At 48.5% G+C, this 14457-nt stretch overlaps 1 protein-coding gene across 1 annotated transcript, besides 15 other annotated features; it reads right to left on the bottom strand.

Moving 5' to 3' along the window:
- Positions 1702-5945, bottom strand: CHST2 (carbohydrate sulfotransferase 2). Its single transcript, NM_004267.5, has 2 exons — positions 5175-5945; positions 1702-5072 (listed from the first exon to the last, which is right to left on the bottom strand). The coding sequence occupies exon 2, from the start codon at positions 4897-4899 to the stop codon at positions 3307-3309; it is 1593 nt and encodes a 530-aa protein (NP_004258.2). The 5' UTR covers positions 4900-5072; positions 5175-5945; the 3' UTR covers positions 1702-3306.
- Positions 2343-2472: an enhancer, noted in NCBI's record as "active region_20651". NCBI's record gives its function as "activates an Ori minimal core promoter by ATAC-STARR-seq in GM12878 lymphoblastoid cells {active_cell/tissue: GM12878}" and the evidence as "EXISTENCE:reporter gene assay evidence [ECO:0000049][PMID:35858748]".
- Positions 3304-3945: an enhancer, noted in NCBI's record as "H3K27ac-H3K4me1 hESC enhancer chr3:142840613-142841254 (GRCh37/hg19 assembly coordinates)". NCBI's record gives its function as "activates a minimal SCP1, AML or CMV promoter by ChIP-STARR-seq in naive and primed H9 embryonic stem cells {active_cell/tissue: H9 hESC(naive and primed)}" and the evidence as "EXISTENCE:reporter gene assay evidence [ECO:0000049][PMID:30033119]".
- Positions 4403-4762: a silencer, noted in NCBI's record as "silent region_14797". NCBI's record gives its function as "represses an Ori minimal core promoter by ATAC-STARR-seq in GM12878 lymphoblastoid cells {active_cell/tissue: GM12878}" and the evidence as "EXISTENCE:reporter gene assay evidence [ECO:0000049][PMID:35858748]".
- Positions 4403-5229: a biological region, named in NCBI's record as "H3K27ac hESC enhancer GRCh37_chr3:142839329-142839970".
- Positions 4588-5229: an enhancer, noted in NCBI's record as "H3K27ac hESC enhancer chr3:142839329-142839970 (GRCh37/hg19 assembly coordinates)". NCBI's record gives its function as "activates a minimal SCP1, AML or CMV promoter by ChIP-STARR-seq in primed H9 embryonic stem cells {active_cell/tissue: H9 hESC(primed)}" and the evidence as "EXISTENCE:reporter gene assay evidence [ECO:0000049][PMID:30033119]".
- Positions 4823-5022: a silencer, noted in NCBI's record as "silent region_14796". NCBI's record gives its function as "represses an Ori minimal core promoter by ATAC-STARR-seq in GM12878 lymphoblastoid cells {active_cell/tissue: GM12878}" and the evidence as "EXISTENCE:reporter gene assay evidence [ECO:0000049][PMID:35858748]".
- Positions 5083-5162: a silencer, noted in NCBI's record as "silent region_14795". NCBI's record gives its function as "represses an Ori minimal core promoter by ATAC-STARR-seq in GM12878 lymphoblastoid cells {active_cell/tissue: GM12878}" and the evidence as "EXISTENCE:reporter gene assay evidence [ECO:0000049][PMID:35858748]".
- Positions 5213-5262: a silencer, noted in NCBI's record as "silent region_14794". NCBI's record gives its function as "represses an Ori minimal core promoter by ATAC-STARR-seq in GM12878 lymphoblastoid cells {active_cell/tissue: GM12878}" and the evidence as "EXISTENCE:reporter gene assay evidence [ECO:0000049][PMID:35858748]".
- Positions 5293-5342: a silencer, noted in NCBI's record as "silent region_14793". NCBI's record gives its function as "represses an Ori minimal core promoter by ATAC-STARR-seq in GM12878 lymphoblastoid cells {active_cell/tissue: GM12878}" and the evidence as "EXISTENCE:reporter gene assay evidence [ECO:0000049][PMID:35858748]".
- Positions 5553-5602: an enhancer, noted in NCBI's record as "active region_20650". NCBI's record gives its function as "activates an Ori minimal core promoter by ATAC-STARR-seq in GM12878 lymphoblastoid cells {active_cell/tissue: GM12878}" and the evidence as "EXISTENCE:reporter gene assay evidence [ECO:0000049][PMID:35858748]".
- Positions 5833-6122: a silencer, noted in NCBI's record as "silent region_14792". NCBI's record gives its function as "represses an Ori minimal core promoter by ATAC-STARR-seq in GM12878 lymphoblastoid cells {active_cell/tissue: GM12878}" and the evidence as "EXISTENCE:reporter gene assay evidence [ECO:0000049][PMID:35858748]".
- Positions 5833-6387: a biological region, named in NCBI's record as "H3K27ac hESC enhancer GRCh37_chr3:142838171-142838670".
- Positions 5888-6387: an enhancer, noted in NCBI's record as "H3K27ac hESC enhancer chr3:142838171-142838670 (GRCh37/hg19 assembly coordinates)". NCBI's record gives its function as "activates a minimal SCP1, AML or CMV promoter by ChIP-STARR-seq in primed H9 embryonic stem cells {active_cell/tissue: H9 hESC(primed)}" and the evidence as "EXISTENCE:reporter gene assay evidence [ECO:0000049][PMID:30033119]".
- Positions 6388-6889: an enhancer, noted in NCBI's record as "H3K27ac hESC enhancer chr3:142837669-142838170 (GRCh37/hg19 assembly coordinates)". NCBI's record gives its function as "activates a minimal SCP1, AML or CMV promoter by ChIP-STARR-seq in primed H9 embryonic stem cells {active_cell/tissue: H9 hESC(primed)}" and the evidence as "EXISTENCE:reporter gene assay evidence [ECO:0000049][PMID:30033119]".
- Positions 6583-6712: an enhancer, noted in NCBI's record as "active region_20649". NCBI's record gives its function as "activates an Ori minimal core promoter by ATAC-STARR-seq in GM12878 lymphoblastoid cells {active_cell/tissue: GM12878}" and the evidence as "EXISTENCE:reporter gene assay evidence [ECO:0000049][PMID:35858748]".

Genomic DNA, 14457 nt, shown 5'->3' with positions numbered 1-14457 from the left:
GCCCTGGAAATCTTGAAGATATTCCTATTGCTCACTCCCCACATCTAAATAGAGCCTATGGCTTATTTCCTTCAGCAAACTTTACTGAACAGGCTGGCATTTTCCCCACACAGGTAATACACTCTTCCACTCTCTCCCTTCCAAGTATTTTCAAAATTTGATAGTTGCATATTTCATTCACTTATTTAATAAATATTTATCATGCACTATGTGGTGGACACTGAAGGGTATAGATTTGCTCTGGCCCCTGCCTGCAAGGTATCCACTGTCAGTCTGAATGAGGTCTTTGAGTGGCTCTGAGCTCCTTGAAATTTAAGCCCCCAGCCTGTGCCTCTGCCTTGTTCCAAACTCAAATTTGTTGACTAAACGCACTGGGTAAACTTTGTTTTATAAATACAGCTTACTCATTAACAAAGGCATTCCAAAGCCAAGCGGTAAGTAAGGAGTGCTATCATTGAGCAGAATTTGAAAATGAAAATCACTCTGACAACCTGCTCTAAAGAATATTTTCTCTTGCTGACGGACATATTGCCAGCTTGGGAAATGTGAAAGGATCTCGTTCATATTTGCTGCCTCAAGAATGGTCACAGGCTCTGTTGCAATTTGTCATAGCACAGGTCTGCTTGCACTAGGGGTTGACAGAAGCTTGTTAACGCCAAAAATTCTTCTCTCTCCTTCTCAAACCTTCGGAAGCTGAATGTCACTGATATGACTAGCTCAGCCCTTAGTGGGAACACCACCTGTCTCACTTTCCTAGAAGGCAGCTAGGTACAAATCTCCAGGAGCAACAATTCACCTTTTCAAATTACAGAGCACAGGAGTGGCAGAGTGGAGAGAATGCAGCTGCTACAAAACAAGATTACGAACGGAAACCCTGTTCAAACAGAGCAAGCAGAGGATCTGTTGGTGTTTAGCTTAAAATTTCATCTGAGCAGAGGCCACAAATGCTCTGCCAGCTGCAAAGGCTCTATCTAGCATCTAATATTGTTTTAAATACAAGATCCAAAACATCATAATTCTACTTTAACACAGTCCAAGTCCTTAGATAAGCTGAAAGAAGAATGAATTCACTGCTTGAAAATCCTTCACTCAACAACTAGGCATGAATTTCACCGCAATTGTTAAGAGCTGATTCTAATGCCACACAAAATTTGTTTATAAATGGTTATTTTATTCAGAGTGGTTGCTTTTTAATGCTGCTCTCTTAATTTCCTGTTAAATCTGTTTCATCTATAGCCATCCAATATTAGTATTTATTTTGTTCATTTAACTTTAAAGTATTCTTAAATTAAATCTATTACAAATATTCTACTGCTGGTGAAGCTAATTCAGCATAGGCACTACCACAAAAATATGGAAAACATGATCAATGTATTATAGATGTAATCTGGCTTCAGAAACACAATACTAAAAACTATTTTAGTAAATTAAGAAATAAGCATTCTAGATTGTGTTATAAAATCCATTTCTAAATATACCCCTTTTTAAACCTTTATGCTTCTTTACCTTGGAATTCTTACCAGCGTAGCTAGATTTTGTATTGCAATGGTAATTATACTTAAGAATCATTGTGTGTTAAAATATTCCCCACGTACAGATTATTTTTATCATCTTTTCCCTAAAATAAAATTCTCAGCATTTAACCTATGCATGTTGGCTTTCAGAGATCTCATAAAAAATCACAGTGAAATAAAACCATGATGATAGTGAACTTGTACTGTATTTACTGTCATATACAACTACACTGTCTCTTGTTCCCATTTGGGCTTCACAATTTCTTCTCATAGTATAACATTCTGCAGAATGTTTCAGTACCAAATGGGTTCAGGACACAACATCATAACCACTACAGGAAAATGTAACGGTTTTCTCCCTGGAAAATACCAAATTTCAAAATCCTACACACTAGTTCATTTTCATTTCCTCTTTACCACAATTCATTATCATATCTAAAAGAAGCTCTTGGCTGAAGCCTTATACTGTCTGCAGCATGTTACTTTCTTTGCAAATTTACTTTTAGGAAACATGATAAAGAAAAGCAACATATTCCACAGGCATCCCAAGTAAAGCATTATAAATTCATATTCTCTCTTGCACTGATTTAAATGGGAAGCAAGTAAGAAAAGGGAAAACCCTTACGGTTCTCAGATGAAACTTCGCTGCTTTCATCCACCTCCACATACCGTGTCAGGGTCAGAAAAACACTCCAAATAGATACTTCTGTCACTTTGCTAAACCAACGAAGCTGCTACCATCGCCAGCAGTATGTTCACGCTACTTTCCTGAGGTCTGTGTTCTAATCATCAGAACTTTTAAAAATTACATACTTTTTTTAAAAATCCTTTTTCTGAACCAGCCTCAGCACCAAAACATTGGTCTCTGCTTCAAGGTTCCCCATTTTAACTGAAGAGGAATGAAAAACCAAATGCCTTCAAGTCCTGAAGGAGTTGCTTCTTCCTGTGTTCAAAGTTGAAGAGAGTAGTGTGCTTTTTCTTCCACTGCCCTGTTTGGTTTCTGCCTTTAGAATACAAAGATGTGTTTCACTCCTGGACACCTAACAGGCTGAGATTTACATGTGAGAAAACATCCCCCAGGTTATTACCAAGGAGGCAAAAATTGCTCCCACCCAGTTTAGCTGCCTTTCAGGAAAGAGACTGGAAAAATGGAAACGAGGGAGGGGAAGGAGATTCTATCTGAAGCTGAGGACAAGTAACACAGGTGAATCCAAAGTAATGGAGGCAAATATTAAAAAGAATATTATTTATTATCTTCTTTATTAATACTCACATGTAACCTTTGCTTTTTACACAAAAGTCTGCTTTAGAAGAATGCCTCCTCGGCTTATCATGCCCAATGGGGCTTTTTGTTTCTGGACCACTTCCCCTTTCTCCACCCCCACCCCCACATCCAAATTACTCTTAACATGTTCACAGATACCACGAATATTTTGTAAACAAGATTTGGGTTACTGGAACTTGATTTCATTAACATCCCACTTCAAAATGGAAGGCAGGTGGAGGACAGGGTAAGAAATAGGAGAAAGAGGACAAGAGAAGGCAAAGAAGAAGAGGGGCACCTGGTCAGAACGTTCAAGTCTTGCCTTTTCTTAGGGGTGTGTATTTTGTGGCTGTTCCTTGAAATGCACTGACTCAAAACATTGACAGCAAGTGTGTGTGTGATTATTTATATATCTATAATAGAATATGTGGGCTTCCTCCGTTTGAGTCTGGACTGTGTTTATTTAAACACACTACGATCCTCTTTATAGGTATCACCACAGGGAATCAGGTCTCCTGGGAACCCCTTTTAGAGACGGGGCTTCCGAAGCAGGGTCTTGCTGAGGTCTTTGACCTCCTCAGGGCTGTTGACCCGCTCATAGCCCAGGACGGCCATGGGCTGGTAGCAAAACTCCTCCACCTGTTTGATCTGCTGGAAGGTGAGGGCGGTCCGCCAGGCATTGGCGGCCTGCGTGGCATTGCGTGCAGATACCACGAAAGGCTTGGAGGAGGAGCCCGAGCCACTGGTCATGTTCAGGGCAAACTGCTCCATTTCGGGGCTCACCAACAGTCCCACAAAATCGTACACTCTCCGTAGTGTCTTGACGGGGTCTCCCACCAGGTCCTCGTACCGCACCACCAGGTAGTGGCCCTGCAGCCAGTCAGGGGGCTGCAGGGCTGTCTGCAGCGTCTTAGCCATACTATTGCAGATGACCTCCATAGCGCCCAGAGCGTGGTAGTCTGCGGGGCCGCCCACGCCCTCCTTCTTGGCGCCAAGCTTGTGGCCCGCGGCCTCCAAGAAGGGCATGCGGTGAGCTCGCGGGTCTCGGCTGCGCACCACCTGTAGGCTCTCACGGATGAGGCCGTGGCGCGAGCGGATCCGTGAACTCGCCACCGCGCGGGGATCACGCACCAAGTGGATGACCTTGAGGTCCAGGGCCGGGTCTCGCAGCAGTGGCGCCAAGACCGCCACGTCGAAGACGCGCACACCCTTTATGACTAGTGTGCGGTACTTGCGGCACTCCTCCTCGAAACGCGCCAGGCGCTGTGGCGGGCACTTCTTGCACACGCGGTCGTCCACCAACCCCACGACCTCCTTGCGGTAGGCGGGGCAGAGTGGTGACGAGCACACCACCTTGTTGGTGGCTGCGCCGAAGATGCCCAGCGTGGTGAGGTTGCGCCCCCCGCTGCCCGCGGGGCTATACAACTGGAAGACAGAGAGGTCGCAGCGGTAAAGAGCGCTCAGCATGTCCCGCGCTGCCCCCTGCAGGGAAACGGCGTCCCCCGGATACAGTTTTTGCCATACATGCCACACTGGCTCGTAGAGAAAGAACACCTCGGGATTCTGGTTGAATAGCTCGCCGAAGAACGACGAGCCAGAGCGCCACGTGGTGAACACGTACACCAGCTGCCGCTTGTCCCCGACGCCCCCGGTGCCCCGAGTGCCATTGCCTGGAGGGGCCGCAACCCCCGCCATCCCTGCCGCGGCTGCAGGAGCCGCCCCGACGGCGGCAGCGGGAGGGCGGTAAGGAGTGCGGAGGTCCAAACGGGCATGAGCACGGGGCGGCCCGGCCGGAGGCGGCCCTGGGCGCCCCCAGCTGCCTCCGGCTGCCCCCGCTGCGGCACCCAGCGGCCCATCGGGGTTGCACTGCTGCAGCGGCTCCTTGTGCCACTTGTAGTCCAGGAGGTTGAGCATAGTGAGCACCAGCAGCAGTGCATAGCCCGCGCACAACACCAGCGCCTTCCTACGGAACACCTTCATTCCGAGAGGGGACGCGGGCCAGCGGCGTCCTGGGCGCCGGGGCCACTGCGGGAGCAGGGCACGCGGCGCGGCTGCAGGCGCAGCCTGGAGCAGCCGAGGGAGCGCGCCCGGGGGCAGAGCTCGCTGCGGGCTGCGGCTCATCACAGGCACAATCCGGGCCGGCGGCGCGGCGGAGGCAGCCCTGCAGCCCGGGAAGGGGACGCAGCGGGCTGGCTGCTGGCGCCGGGACTCGGGCCGCGACTCCGAGGCGGGCGCGGCGGCTGGTCCCCAGCGCCCAAGGCTGGCTCTCCCATGGCAGCGGCTCCGGGTAGGACCTGCGAGGGGAAGCGGAGTGAGCGGATGCGCCCCAATCTCCCTCCCAGCCTCCTCCTCCTAAGTAACGCCCACCCTCGGTTCTGCCCGGTTCCTCCGCTCACCTGGAGCCGAGGGCGCGCCCGGGAGCGGCCCCGGATCACCGCCCGGCGGACTGTCCGGCTGTCACTCGTTCCTCGATTTCGCTCCCTCTCGCTTCCGCTGGGGGTCCCCGCACCTTCGAGGGGTCTGGGGAGTCGGCCGACTTATCCCTGGGCAGTTTCCGGGCAGCGGGCGCCCTGCGGCTCGGGAAGAAAAACTTTCACGCGGCCCAGAGCCCCGCTCCGCGCTCCGCCGAACCCGGCGCCTCCCGGCTCCAGCGACGTCTCCTCCGCTTTCTCGGGACCGCAGCTTCCTGTCTCGCTCAGGGGAACGAAGCCGGCTGGGGGCGATGGCTGGGGGCGGCTTATATGGGACTCAGCTCCCGGCATAGCGGCGCAGCCCCTCTCGCTTTCGGCCTCCGTGCGGCGAATTTTCCCACCTCTCTGGCAGCGGTGGATGGGGCACAGCGCGACCCCGCAGCGGCGGCGGCGGCTGCTTCCATCACCGGGAGGATGCCCGGGCGGACAGCGCAGGCAACCCCCGCCGCTCCGCAGCCTCCGACTGGACCAAAGGACCCCGAACACACAGCTCTAGGCAAGGAAACCCAGGTGTGCAGCACTGCCCGACCCGACCCAACCCGCCCCCGGTACCAGCGCTTCTGGCCAACGAGGTATTTAAGCAAAGAAAGACCCCGCCGCAGCCGCCGCCGCCGCGCGAAAGCGGCGCCCAGGAGGATGCTGCTACCCGACTCCCCTTACGCCGGGCGCCCGCAACGCGCTCGGACCAGCCTCTGCGCGGCTCCTGCCAGCCGGCGCCCGGTTGGTGCGCGCCGCCGTCTGTCGCCGCGGCTCCTCCCCTCCGCCGCGCAGCCCTCCCCCTTCGCCGGCCCCGCCCCCGCCCCCAACGCCGAGCCGGCTCCCACCGTCGCTGCGCCTCGGGGGCTGGAGACGCGACCCGCTTTACCGCGACGCGCGGGGGCTGCAGTCCACGGGTCCGAAGGCTTAGCTCTGCGCGCAAAGCGCCGGGATGCGAACGCGGGATCTGGAGCTCGTCGGTGCCGAGAGCTGCCAGAGAGTTGGATTCTGCGTGCAGCTGCCGGACTCGGCCCCATGTTTTTGCTCTCAGAAAGAGTTGGTGATGAAGTTTGGGCAGAAATCCCCTGTCGGCCGTCCGCTCCACGCTTCCCTCGGGGCCGACACTGCCAACCTCTCCGGGCACTGAGGACACCTCTGCGCCCTGGAGCGGTGGGAGGACGCGGAGCGCCGTTCTCTGGCTTCCGACACCCTGCCCGCCCTCTCTAGTGGGTCTGTGGCTGCGCCCTCTCGAAGGAAGTAATAAATCTTTCTGACCTTGGGGGTCAGAGGAGACGCTTCAGTTTTCCGGAGGGGTGTGCGGGCGGGACCGTCTTTCCGCTTTACTGGACCTCTGGCCGGGGCTGCTCTTGTTTCATTGTGCCCCACATGCGGAGCCCCGATGCTCTCCGCATTTCCGCTCGCGGTGCTGCGTCCACTGTGATTGACGTCCTCTGGAATTGGGGTGATGGGGGAGGGGAACGCCCCGTTCTAATTTGCAGAAAAATACTTGTCCCGCTTCTTGGTTTTGTAGATGAGATCAAAGAACTTGACCCCAAAGGAAACACCGTTGTTGAAAGAAAATCATTTTTCAGTTGCTTTAGGTTTAAGTACTTTTGTTTAAGGTTATGAGGAAAAGCGTCTCTCTCTCCCCCCAACTCCCTCCCTCCCCAAGAACACTAAGCTGTAGCCTCAACTTCATCTGTAGAATGGGGACAGTTGTAACAGCCTCCGGAGACTGAACGGTGGTTGAGTATCAGAGCGCGCACACGAAAGGTTAGACCTGAGTTCAGGCCTCCAAGTGCCGAAAAGGGAATCTCCGTGGGGCCTGAGGCTCAGCACCCTCGGATAAACAGAGCTCTCGCTGATCCGGAGTTTTGTTGCCTCCTGTCCCAGTAGAGTTTTTAGAAGTTACTGCACAATTATCTTTGTAGCGTTTCGGGCAGACTTTTCAGAGGACCGTTCTAACATTAAAATATTGCTGTTTGCGCCATTATTCTTCCATGAGTCTTACAGAATCCCCTGAGTACAAAGACTTGAAAAGTGACTTAACTCGCTTTCCACGGGTTTTTAACTCTCTTACGGATTTAGTTTCAGGGGAGAAAAATGTTCAAAAAACTTATTTATCCTTGTTTTCCAGAAAAACCCATAATGTCACGAGTACAGTTCAGCTTATTTTTTCTCCTGGGGAGGGGGATTGGGACAAGGACAGCAGAGCTCAAATTTTATATCCAGCTTTCTCAAATAATATGGCATTGCCTCTGGAAGTGGGTCGAGACAGGCAAGAATCCCTGTTAACAGATGAAGGTGGTAGAGTTTAATTGAGCGACTCCCCATCTTTTCCTTTTCTGGAATCCCCAGCCTCCCTTCGCCTACTCTCTCAAATGCCCCTGCCCCTTTTTCACCACCTCTTTTACCACGAAAACTAAAATGACATTGGTGCATGAAAAGACTGATGGGAGAGAGAGGGAATTGGGGAGGAAAGTAAATCTCAATTTTAATATTCAACATGATTCCAAGAAAAATAATTTCTAATATTTTTCATTTAGTTTCTGGCTTTGTGCTTACCCAGAAAAAAACTGAATTGCATTAGTCGATGTAGGGACCCTTTTTAAAAACAATTGTTTGCATAGAAATAATTCCGTTTGCAATTTTGTAACACTTTACTGGTGTTGGCAAAATAGTAAATCCATTTGCCAGGTGCCCCCACAGTGCTCAGCTGGCATAAATTTACGGGTTCTGGCATCTCCACCCTCTCCTTGCTTGCAAATTTTTCCCATTTTGCATGGTGTCATGATTAATTCTGAACTTTGTTATAGCTAATGACATCTGAAAACTTCATAATGCCTTCCTTCCCGCATTTGTTTGGAAATTCCTTTCATTTTAATCTACTTATTTTAGCATAGTAATGACCCAGACATATAATATGTCACATAATAATGTCACTTGCACAAGAGCCAGTCATGCCACAGGGCTAGCCTTAATTTCGGCTCACTGGTTTAGTTTGTCACAATTCCATCTCCCCCAGGATGCTCTTTCAGTCTCTGTCTTCTCTGCTGCCTGTTATGTTCTATTGGAAACTGTCAGGCCTCTGAGCCAAAGCTAAGCCATCATATCCCCTGTGACCTGCATGTACACATCCAGATGGCTGGTCCTTGCCTTAACTGATGACATTCCACTACAAAAGAAGTGAAAATGGCAGGTCCTGCCTTAACTGATGACATTACCTTGTGAAATTCCTTCTCCTGGCTCATCCTGGCTCAAAAAGCTCCCCCACTGAGCACCTTGTGATCCCCCCCTCCACACCTGCCCACCAGAGAACAACCCCCTTTGACTGTAATTTTCCTTTACCTGCCCAAATCCTATAAAACGGCCCCACGCCTATCTCCCTTCACTGACTCTCTTTTCGGACTCAGCCCGCCTGCACCCAGGTGATTAAAAAGCTTTATTGCTCACACAAAGCCTGTTTGGTGGTCTCTTCACACTGATGCGAGTGAAAGAAACTTGCTGTGGCTTTTGCTTAATCCTGGACAAATGTCCAGAGATCTTCAAGGACTTTCTTCCAGAGTCTGAACTGGGGAAAGATGCAAGGCTGGGTTACCTGAACAGTTCCCATTTGGGCCTATCTGTGTGAATCCTAGAAGATTCACCTTTGGAAAATGTTTGCCCCTGGGCACCAAGATAGATTCACTCCCTCATATTTTGAACAAATATGCATTTTCAATAGAACTTGAGATTATAGATTCAGGTTACTCATAATCCTTGATTTAAGATATGCTGCCATTGTTAGTCCAAGTGGCCCTTTTAAATGTCCTATGTTTTAATATAATGAATATGCATGAACCCATTACACAGCCCAAAAACCTCCAAGAGTAACCGCTCTACTTAGTTTAGAAACTGAGATGAAATGATAAAGTTCTAACAGGAAGGAAAAACAACTTGCTTTAACAATCTCAAAAAGATACAAGACTACTTATGGCCGGGCACGGTGGCTCATGCCTGTAATCCCAACACTTTGGGAGGCTGAGGTGGGCATATCACTTGAGCCTAGGAGCTTGAGACCAACCTGGGCAACATGGCAAAACCCCATCTCTACAAAAACTACAAAAAAATTAGCCAAGTGTGGCAGTGCATGCCTGTAGTCCCAGCAACTCGGGAGACTGAGATGGGAGAATTACCTGACCCCAGGAGGTCAAGGCTGCAGTGAGCCATAATGGTGCCACTGCACTCCAACCTGGGCAACAGAGTGAGACCCAGTCTCAAAAAAAAAAAAAAGAAAAAGAGGTTGGGCACGGTGGCTCACACCTGTAATCCCAGCACTTTGGGAGGCCGAGTTGGGCAGATCACCCGAGGTCAGGAGTTTGAGACCAGGCTGAAACCCCGTCTCTGCTAAAAATACAAAAATTAGCCTGGTTTGGTGGTGCGCACCTGTAGTCCCAGCTACTCGGGAGGCTGAGGCAGGAGAATTGCTTGAACCCGGGAGGCAGAGGTTGCAGTGAGCCAAGATCGCGCCACTGCACTCCAGCCTGGGCAACAGAATGAGACTCTGTCTCAAAAAAAAAGAAAAGGAAGGAAAAGAAAGAAAAAGAAGAAAAACAGTACTTACAAATTGAAACAACACTATTACCAGAGGGATTTAAAGGAGGGTTCCACCAAACTTTCAAGAACTAGATTGTTTCAGTCTTATCTCTATCAGAGAAGAGAACAAGAGGGAATATTTCCCCCAACTCATTCAAAGGGGATAATAACTACAGAGGGATTTCAGAGAAGAAATTTGGTACTGTCTCTGATTAATTTATACATAAAACTCTTAAATAAAATATAAGCAAAACAAATCCACTCAAGTGGGGAAAAAAGGACAATAAACTAGAACCAATTTGGGTTTATCCCAGAAATATAAGGATGACAATAAATATTTAGTAAGCACCTATAATGTACCAGGTGCTGGTCTAGCTATGTGAGATGCAAAAGTGAAGCAGACAGGCCTAGACCCTACCTTCATGAAGTTTACACTCTAGAGTGGGAGATACTCAGTGCACACACATTTAAACAAATAAGATTATTTTTGAGAATGGTAAGTACTATAGAAGAAATAAAATATTAATGTGATGGAGAGTGACTGGAAACAGCTATTTTTAAATTGGGAAAGTAAGGTTTGCAAAGGGGAGGTGACCCTTGCAAAGAATGAGGATGCAGCCAGATGAAAACTGAGGGATGAGAGTTGCATGCAGACGATACTGCAAGTGCAGAAGCCCTGAGTGGGGATGAGGTCTAGCCCAGTGAATGCGATTATGCTGTCTACCTGATTGGGGTGTGCCTGGTTTACAAAACCTGAAGGGGTTTCCTTAACATAGACTTTAAAAATCAATTTGTTAAGAAGCACAGATTGGGCACAGTGGCCCACTCCTATAATCCCAGCACTTCGGGAGACCAAGGTAGGAGGATCAATTGAGCCCAGGAGTTTGAGACCAGCCTGGGCAACATAGAGAGACCCGCCCCCCAAAACCCTCCCACTACCCCTTACCCCCATATCTACAAAAAATATTAAAAATTAGCTGGGCATAGTGGCACAGGCTTGTAGTCCTAGGTACTCGAAGGCTGAGGTGGGAGGCTCACTTCATTCAGCCCATGAGTTCAAGGCTGAAGTGAGCCATGTAGGTGCCAGTGCATTCCAGCCTGAGTGATACAGCAAGACCCTGTCTCAGAAAAAAGGAGGAGGTGGTGGCAGGGGGCAGGAAGGGGAAATAAGAAAAAGAAGAAGCACAAAATGGATGTTATGGGAGAAGCGCACACAGGTTTGCTTCTCTAAGAACATATGTAGCTAATTTCTAAATGTGTCACTCTGGTGTTGTCTTTGAGCACCCCTCTCTCTTCCCCAGACTCCACTTGGAGTTCCTCAGCCTTTCTGCATCTTCACCTTTGAGACCTAGCCCAGCTGTCTACTTCCCGGGTCTCACCCCAGCCTGGAAGATTGGTAACAAAGCCTGTGGCTTCTTCTTGCAGTTTTTTCCTTCCAGATATTAGAGGACAGGAGCTAGCTAGCTGGACCAGGAGATGCTCCGCCACCACACCTATAACCACTGACTTCTCTAGTCTGCCAGCCATTGCTCTGTTCCCTGTGGTAGGCATCCTATTGGGTTCTGCCTGACCCACATCCATTCTTTTCTGTGGTAACAGTATCTGAACCAATGCACCCCATTGTACGTGGATTTGGTGGGACCTTCAGCCAAAGTACTCCTCCCCTCCTCCCAAGGGGCAGGTACATGACCCAAGCTCAACCAATTAGATGTTCTCTCCATGAAAGTTGCATTCATTCATTCACTCAGTCACTCATTCGGTCATCCTATATGTATTGAGTTCCCACCATGTGCCAAGCAATCTGAATCTTTAGCAGAGAGATTCATAAGAAGGAAAATGGTTGCTGCCCTCTCGGGCCAACAGCAGAGCCCTAAAGCAATGGCTCATTATCTCTCAGAAGGGACCCTACCCTTTTTAAGACTATTGTTTGTTCTTTGTTTAAAGTCTGTGAGCTACCCCAAATGCTTCCCCAAATCCCTTTCGCCTCCTGCTTATGTTACTCACCGTCCATTTCTGTTATTTACAATCAAAAATTTCTGGCTGGGTGCAGTGGCTCATGCCTGTAATCTCAGCACTTTGGGAGGCCAAGGCAGGTGGATCACTTGAGGTCAGGAGTTCAAGACCAGCCTGGCCAACACAGTGAAACCCCTTCTCTGCTAAAAATACAAAAAATTAGCCAGACGTGGTGGCATGCACCTGTAATCCCAGTTACTTGGGAGGCTGAGGCAGGAGAATCGCTTGAACCCAGGAGGCAGAAGTTGCAGTGAGCCGAGATTGTGCCACTGTATACCAGCCTGGGTGACAGAGCAAGACTCCATCTCAAAACAAACAAACAAAAAAAAAAACTCTAATTGACAGGCTGGCTTACTGCCTAATTACAGATTTGGTTTCATTCATGCTTTTGTCCCTGTGCCTTGTTCTCCATCTGTCCTTACAATGGGGCTTTCTCTTTGAATCCCCACTTTTAAATTCTGGTTTCTAGAGAGCCAGTCATCCTAAGGAACTCCGTCTCTGCCGCACATCAACATCAGTGGCCTCATCATTCACATCTTTCCTTGGGCTTGATTGTCACCATCACTGGCTGGGCTGCTCCCTTGTGACCCCTGACAGCCAGGATTGCCTTTACAATAACGAGTGTACTCTTCTCATTGGATTTACTTCCAAAAACACATCTAATTATCATTATAATTATCTCTTGATTTCTGTCCCAAAGACTTTCTGGGTTATTTTACTATTATTTAGTTATAGCCCCCTCTATCTTTTTTTTTTTAAGATAGTAGGTATGTGAGGTAGTTCACAAAGAATAAAACAAAAAAAAATGATAAAAAGGAAAATAACATAAATCCAGGGGTATGGTCTGTGTAACAATTCATTCCATAAGGTTTTGCATTTGCTAGAGGCAAACAGCAACAACAAAACCGCTTTGAGTTTCCCAGTAATCATAGTAAAAAAGGAAAATTAGCTGGGTGTGATGGCTCACACCTGTAATCCCAACATTTTGGGAGGCTAAGGCAGGCAGATCACTTGAGGTCAGGAATTCGAGACCAGCCTGGCCAACATGGTGAAACCCTGTCTCTACCAAAAAATATAAAAGTTAGCCAGGCATGGTGGTAATGCCTATAACCCCAGCTACTTGGGAGGCTGAAGTGGGAGAATCGCTTGAACCACTTAAGGTGGGAGGCAGAGGTTGCAGTGAGCCAAGATCTCACCACTGCACTCCAGCCTGGGTGACAGAGTGAGACCCTGTCTAAAAAAAAAAAAAAAAAAAAGAAGAAGGAAAATTGTAAAATCGCTTAAGAGATTCACAGCTTTGCCTGACATAGGGACTCAAGAAAAAAATCTTACCTTCCTTCAATAATGTGAGCTTCACTCATGTGATTTCTTTATTTACTGCTTTATTCTCAATAAAGGGAATAGCCCAGTGTCTGGCACATAAGTGCTCAATACATATTTATTGACTGACTTACTCTGGCCCCTTATAAAAGAATTATGTGTTACAGAAAGTAGACTATGTCCTTCAATATATCTCTACAATAAAAACTACTGTAGAGTCAGCTAGGGATGTGCTGGTTCTTATAAACCAAATCAATGCAATCAAATGGTATAACATCAATGCTCAGTTCACTAAAGGCAATTTCGTGTGGACTACATCCACCGCTCTGGAGGTCTGGCCTGCTGACTCATCTGAGCAGGTTTTGCAAAGCTATTTTCACCCCAAAGTGAGTAGGGATGATGAGCTTCTAGGAAGAAGCTTCTTGGAGAAACTCCTGCAGAGAAACAAGAGACTTAGTTTCTGTCACCTCTTTCCACAGCTCCCTGCCAAACCTTCCCAACAGTAGAAGCTGCATCTTTTGCTACCCTCAATTAGAAAGTGGTCTTGAACCATTTTGAAAATTATTTCAATTTTCCCCTGGGCTTTCCCCTCAGTTTCCCATGATTCATGAGTTATGAACCCACCAGATAGGACTGAAGTCAGCTCTGTCCAGTGTGCCTTGCGCTGACCACTGTCCCTCACCTCTGTCTGGAGCTCCAGCTTCTGGGAATTCCTCCCTGAAACAAGCCTGTTCTCTCCATGGGGGCCTGCCCCTGATGACTGGGTGCTTAGAGGGACCTGGTGAAAGTACCACCTGGTCCTAATGGCTCAGGAGAGATGAGCCTTGCTGTATTCTGAAATACAACATTTGAAATCCTGGAAAAGCTTCAACACTGCGGTTTTAGTAGATGATCAGAAATGCTTTAAAAATAAGTAACCAGCCCGGCACGGTAGCTCACATCTGTAATCCCAGCACTTTGGGAGGCCAAGGCGGGCAGATCACCTGAGGTCAAGAGTTTGAGACCAGCCTGGCCAACATGGTGAAACCCCGTCTCTACTGAAAATACAAAAATTAGCTGGTGTGGTGGCAGGTGCCTGTAATTCCCAGTTACTTGGGAGGCTGAGGCAGGAGAATCACTTGAACCCGGGAGGCGGAGGTTGCAGTGAACCGAGATCATGCCACTACACTCCAGCCTGGGTGATAGAGCAAGACTCCATCTCAAAAAAAATAAAATAAAATAAGTAACCAGTCATCAAAGTCAACTCTCATGAGGAAGCAGAGAAAATGTCACATTAGTAGAAACTCCAAGAGACATTCATATGGCTCTTCAGTAATAGAATTCT

Source organism: Homo sapiens, chromosome 3, assembly GCF_000001405.40.
Source record: "Homo sapiens chromosome 3, GRCh38.p14 Primary Assembly".
In the NCBI taxonomy this organism is placed as follows: domain Eukaryota; kingdom Metazoa; phylum Chordata; class Mammalia; order Primates; family Hominidae; genus Homo; species Homo sapiens.
The sequence above is the reverse complement of the archived record's forward strand: the minus strand, read 5'-3'. Positions and strand labels throughout refer to the sequence as shown.

Coding starts and splice junctions, on each gene's coding strand:
- CHST2 (NM_004267.5), bottom strand. CDS start 4,899: ATGAGCCGCAGCCCGCAGCGAGCTCTGCCCCCGGGCGCGCTCCCTCGG.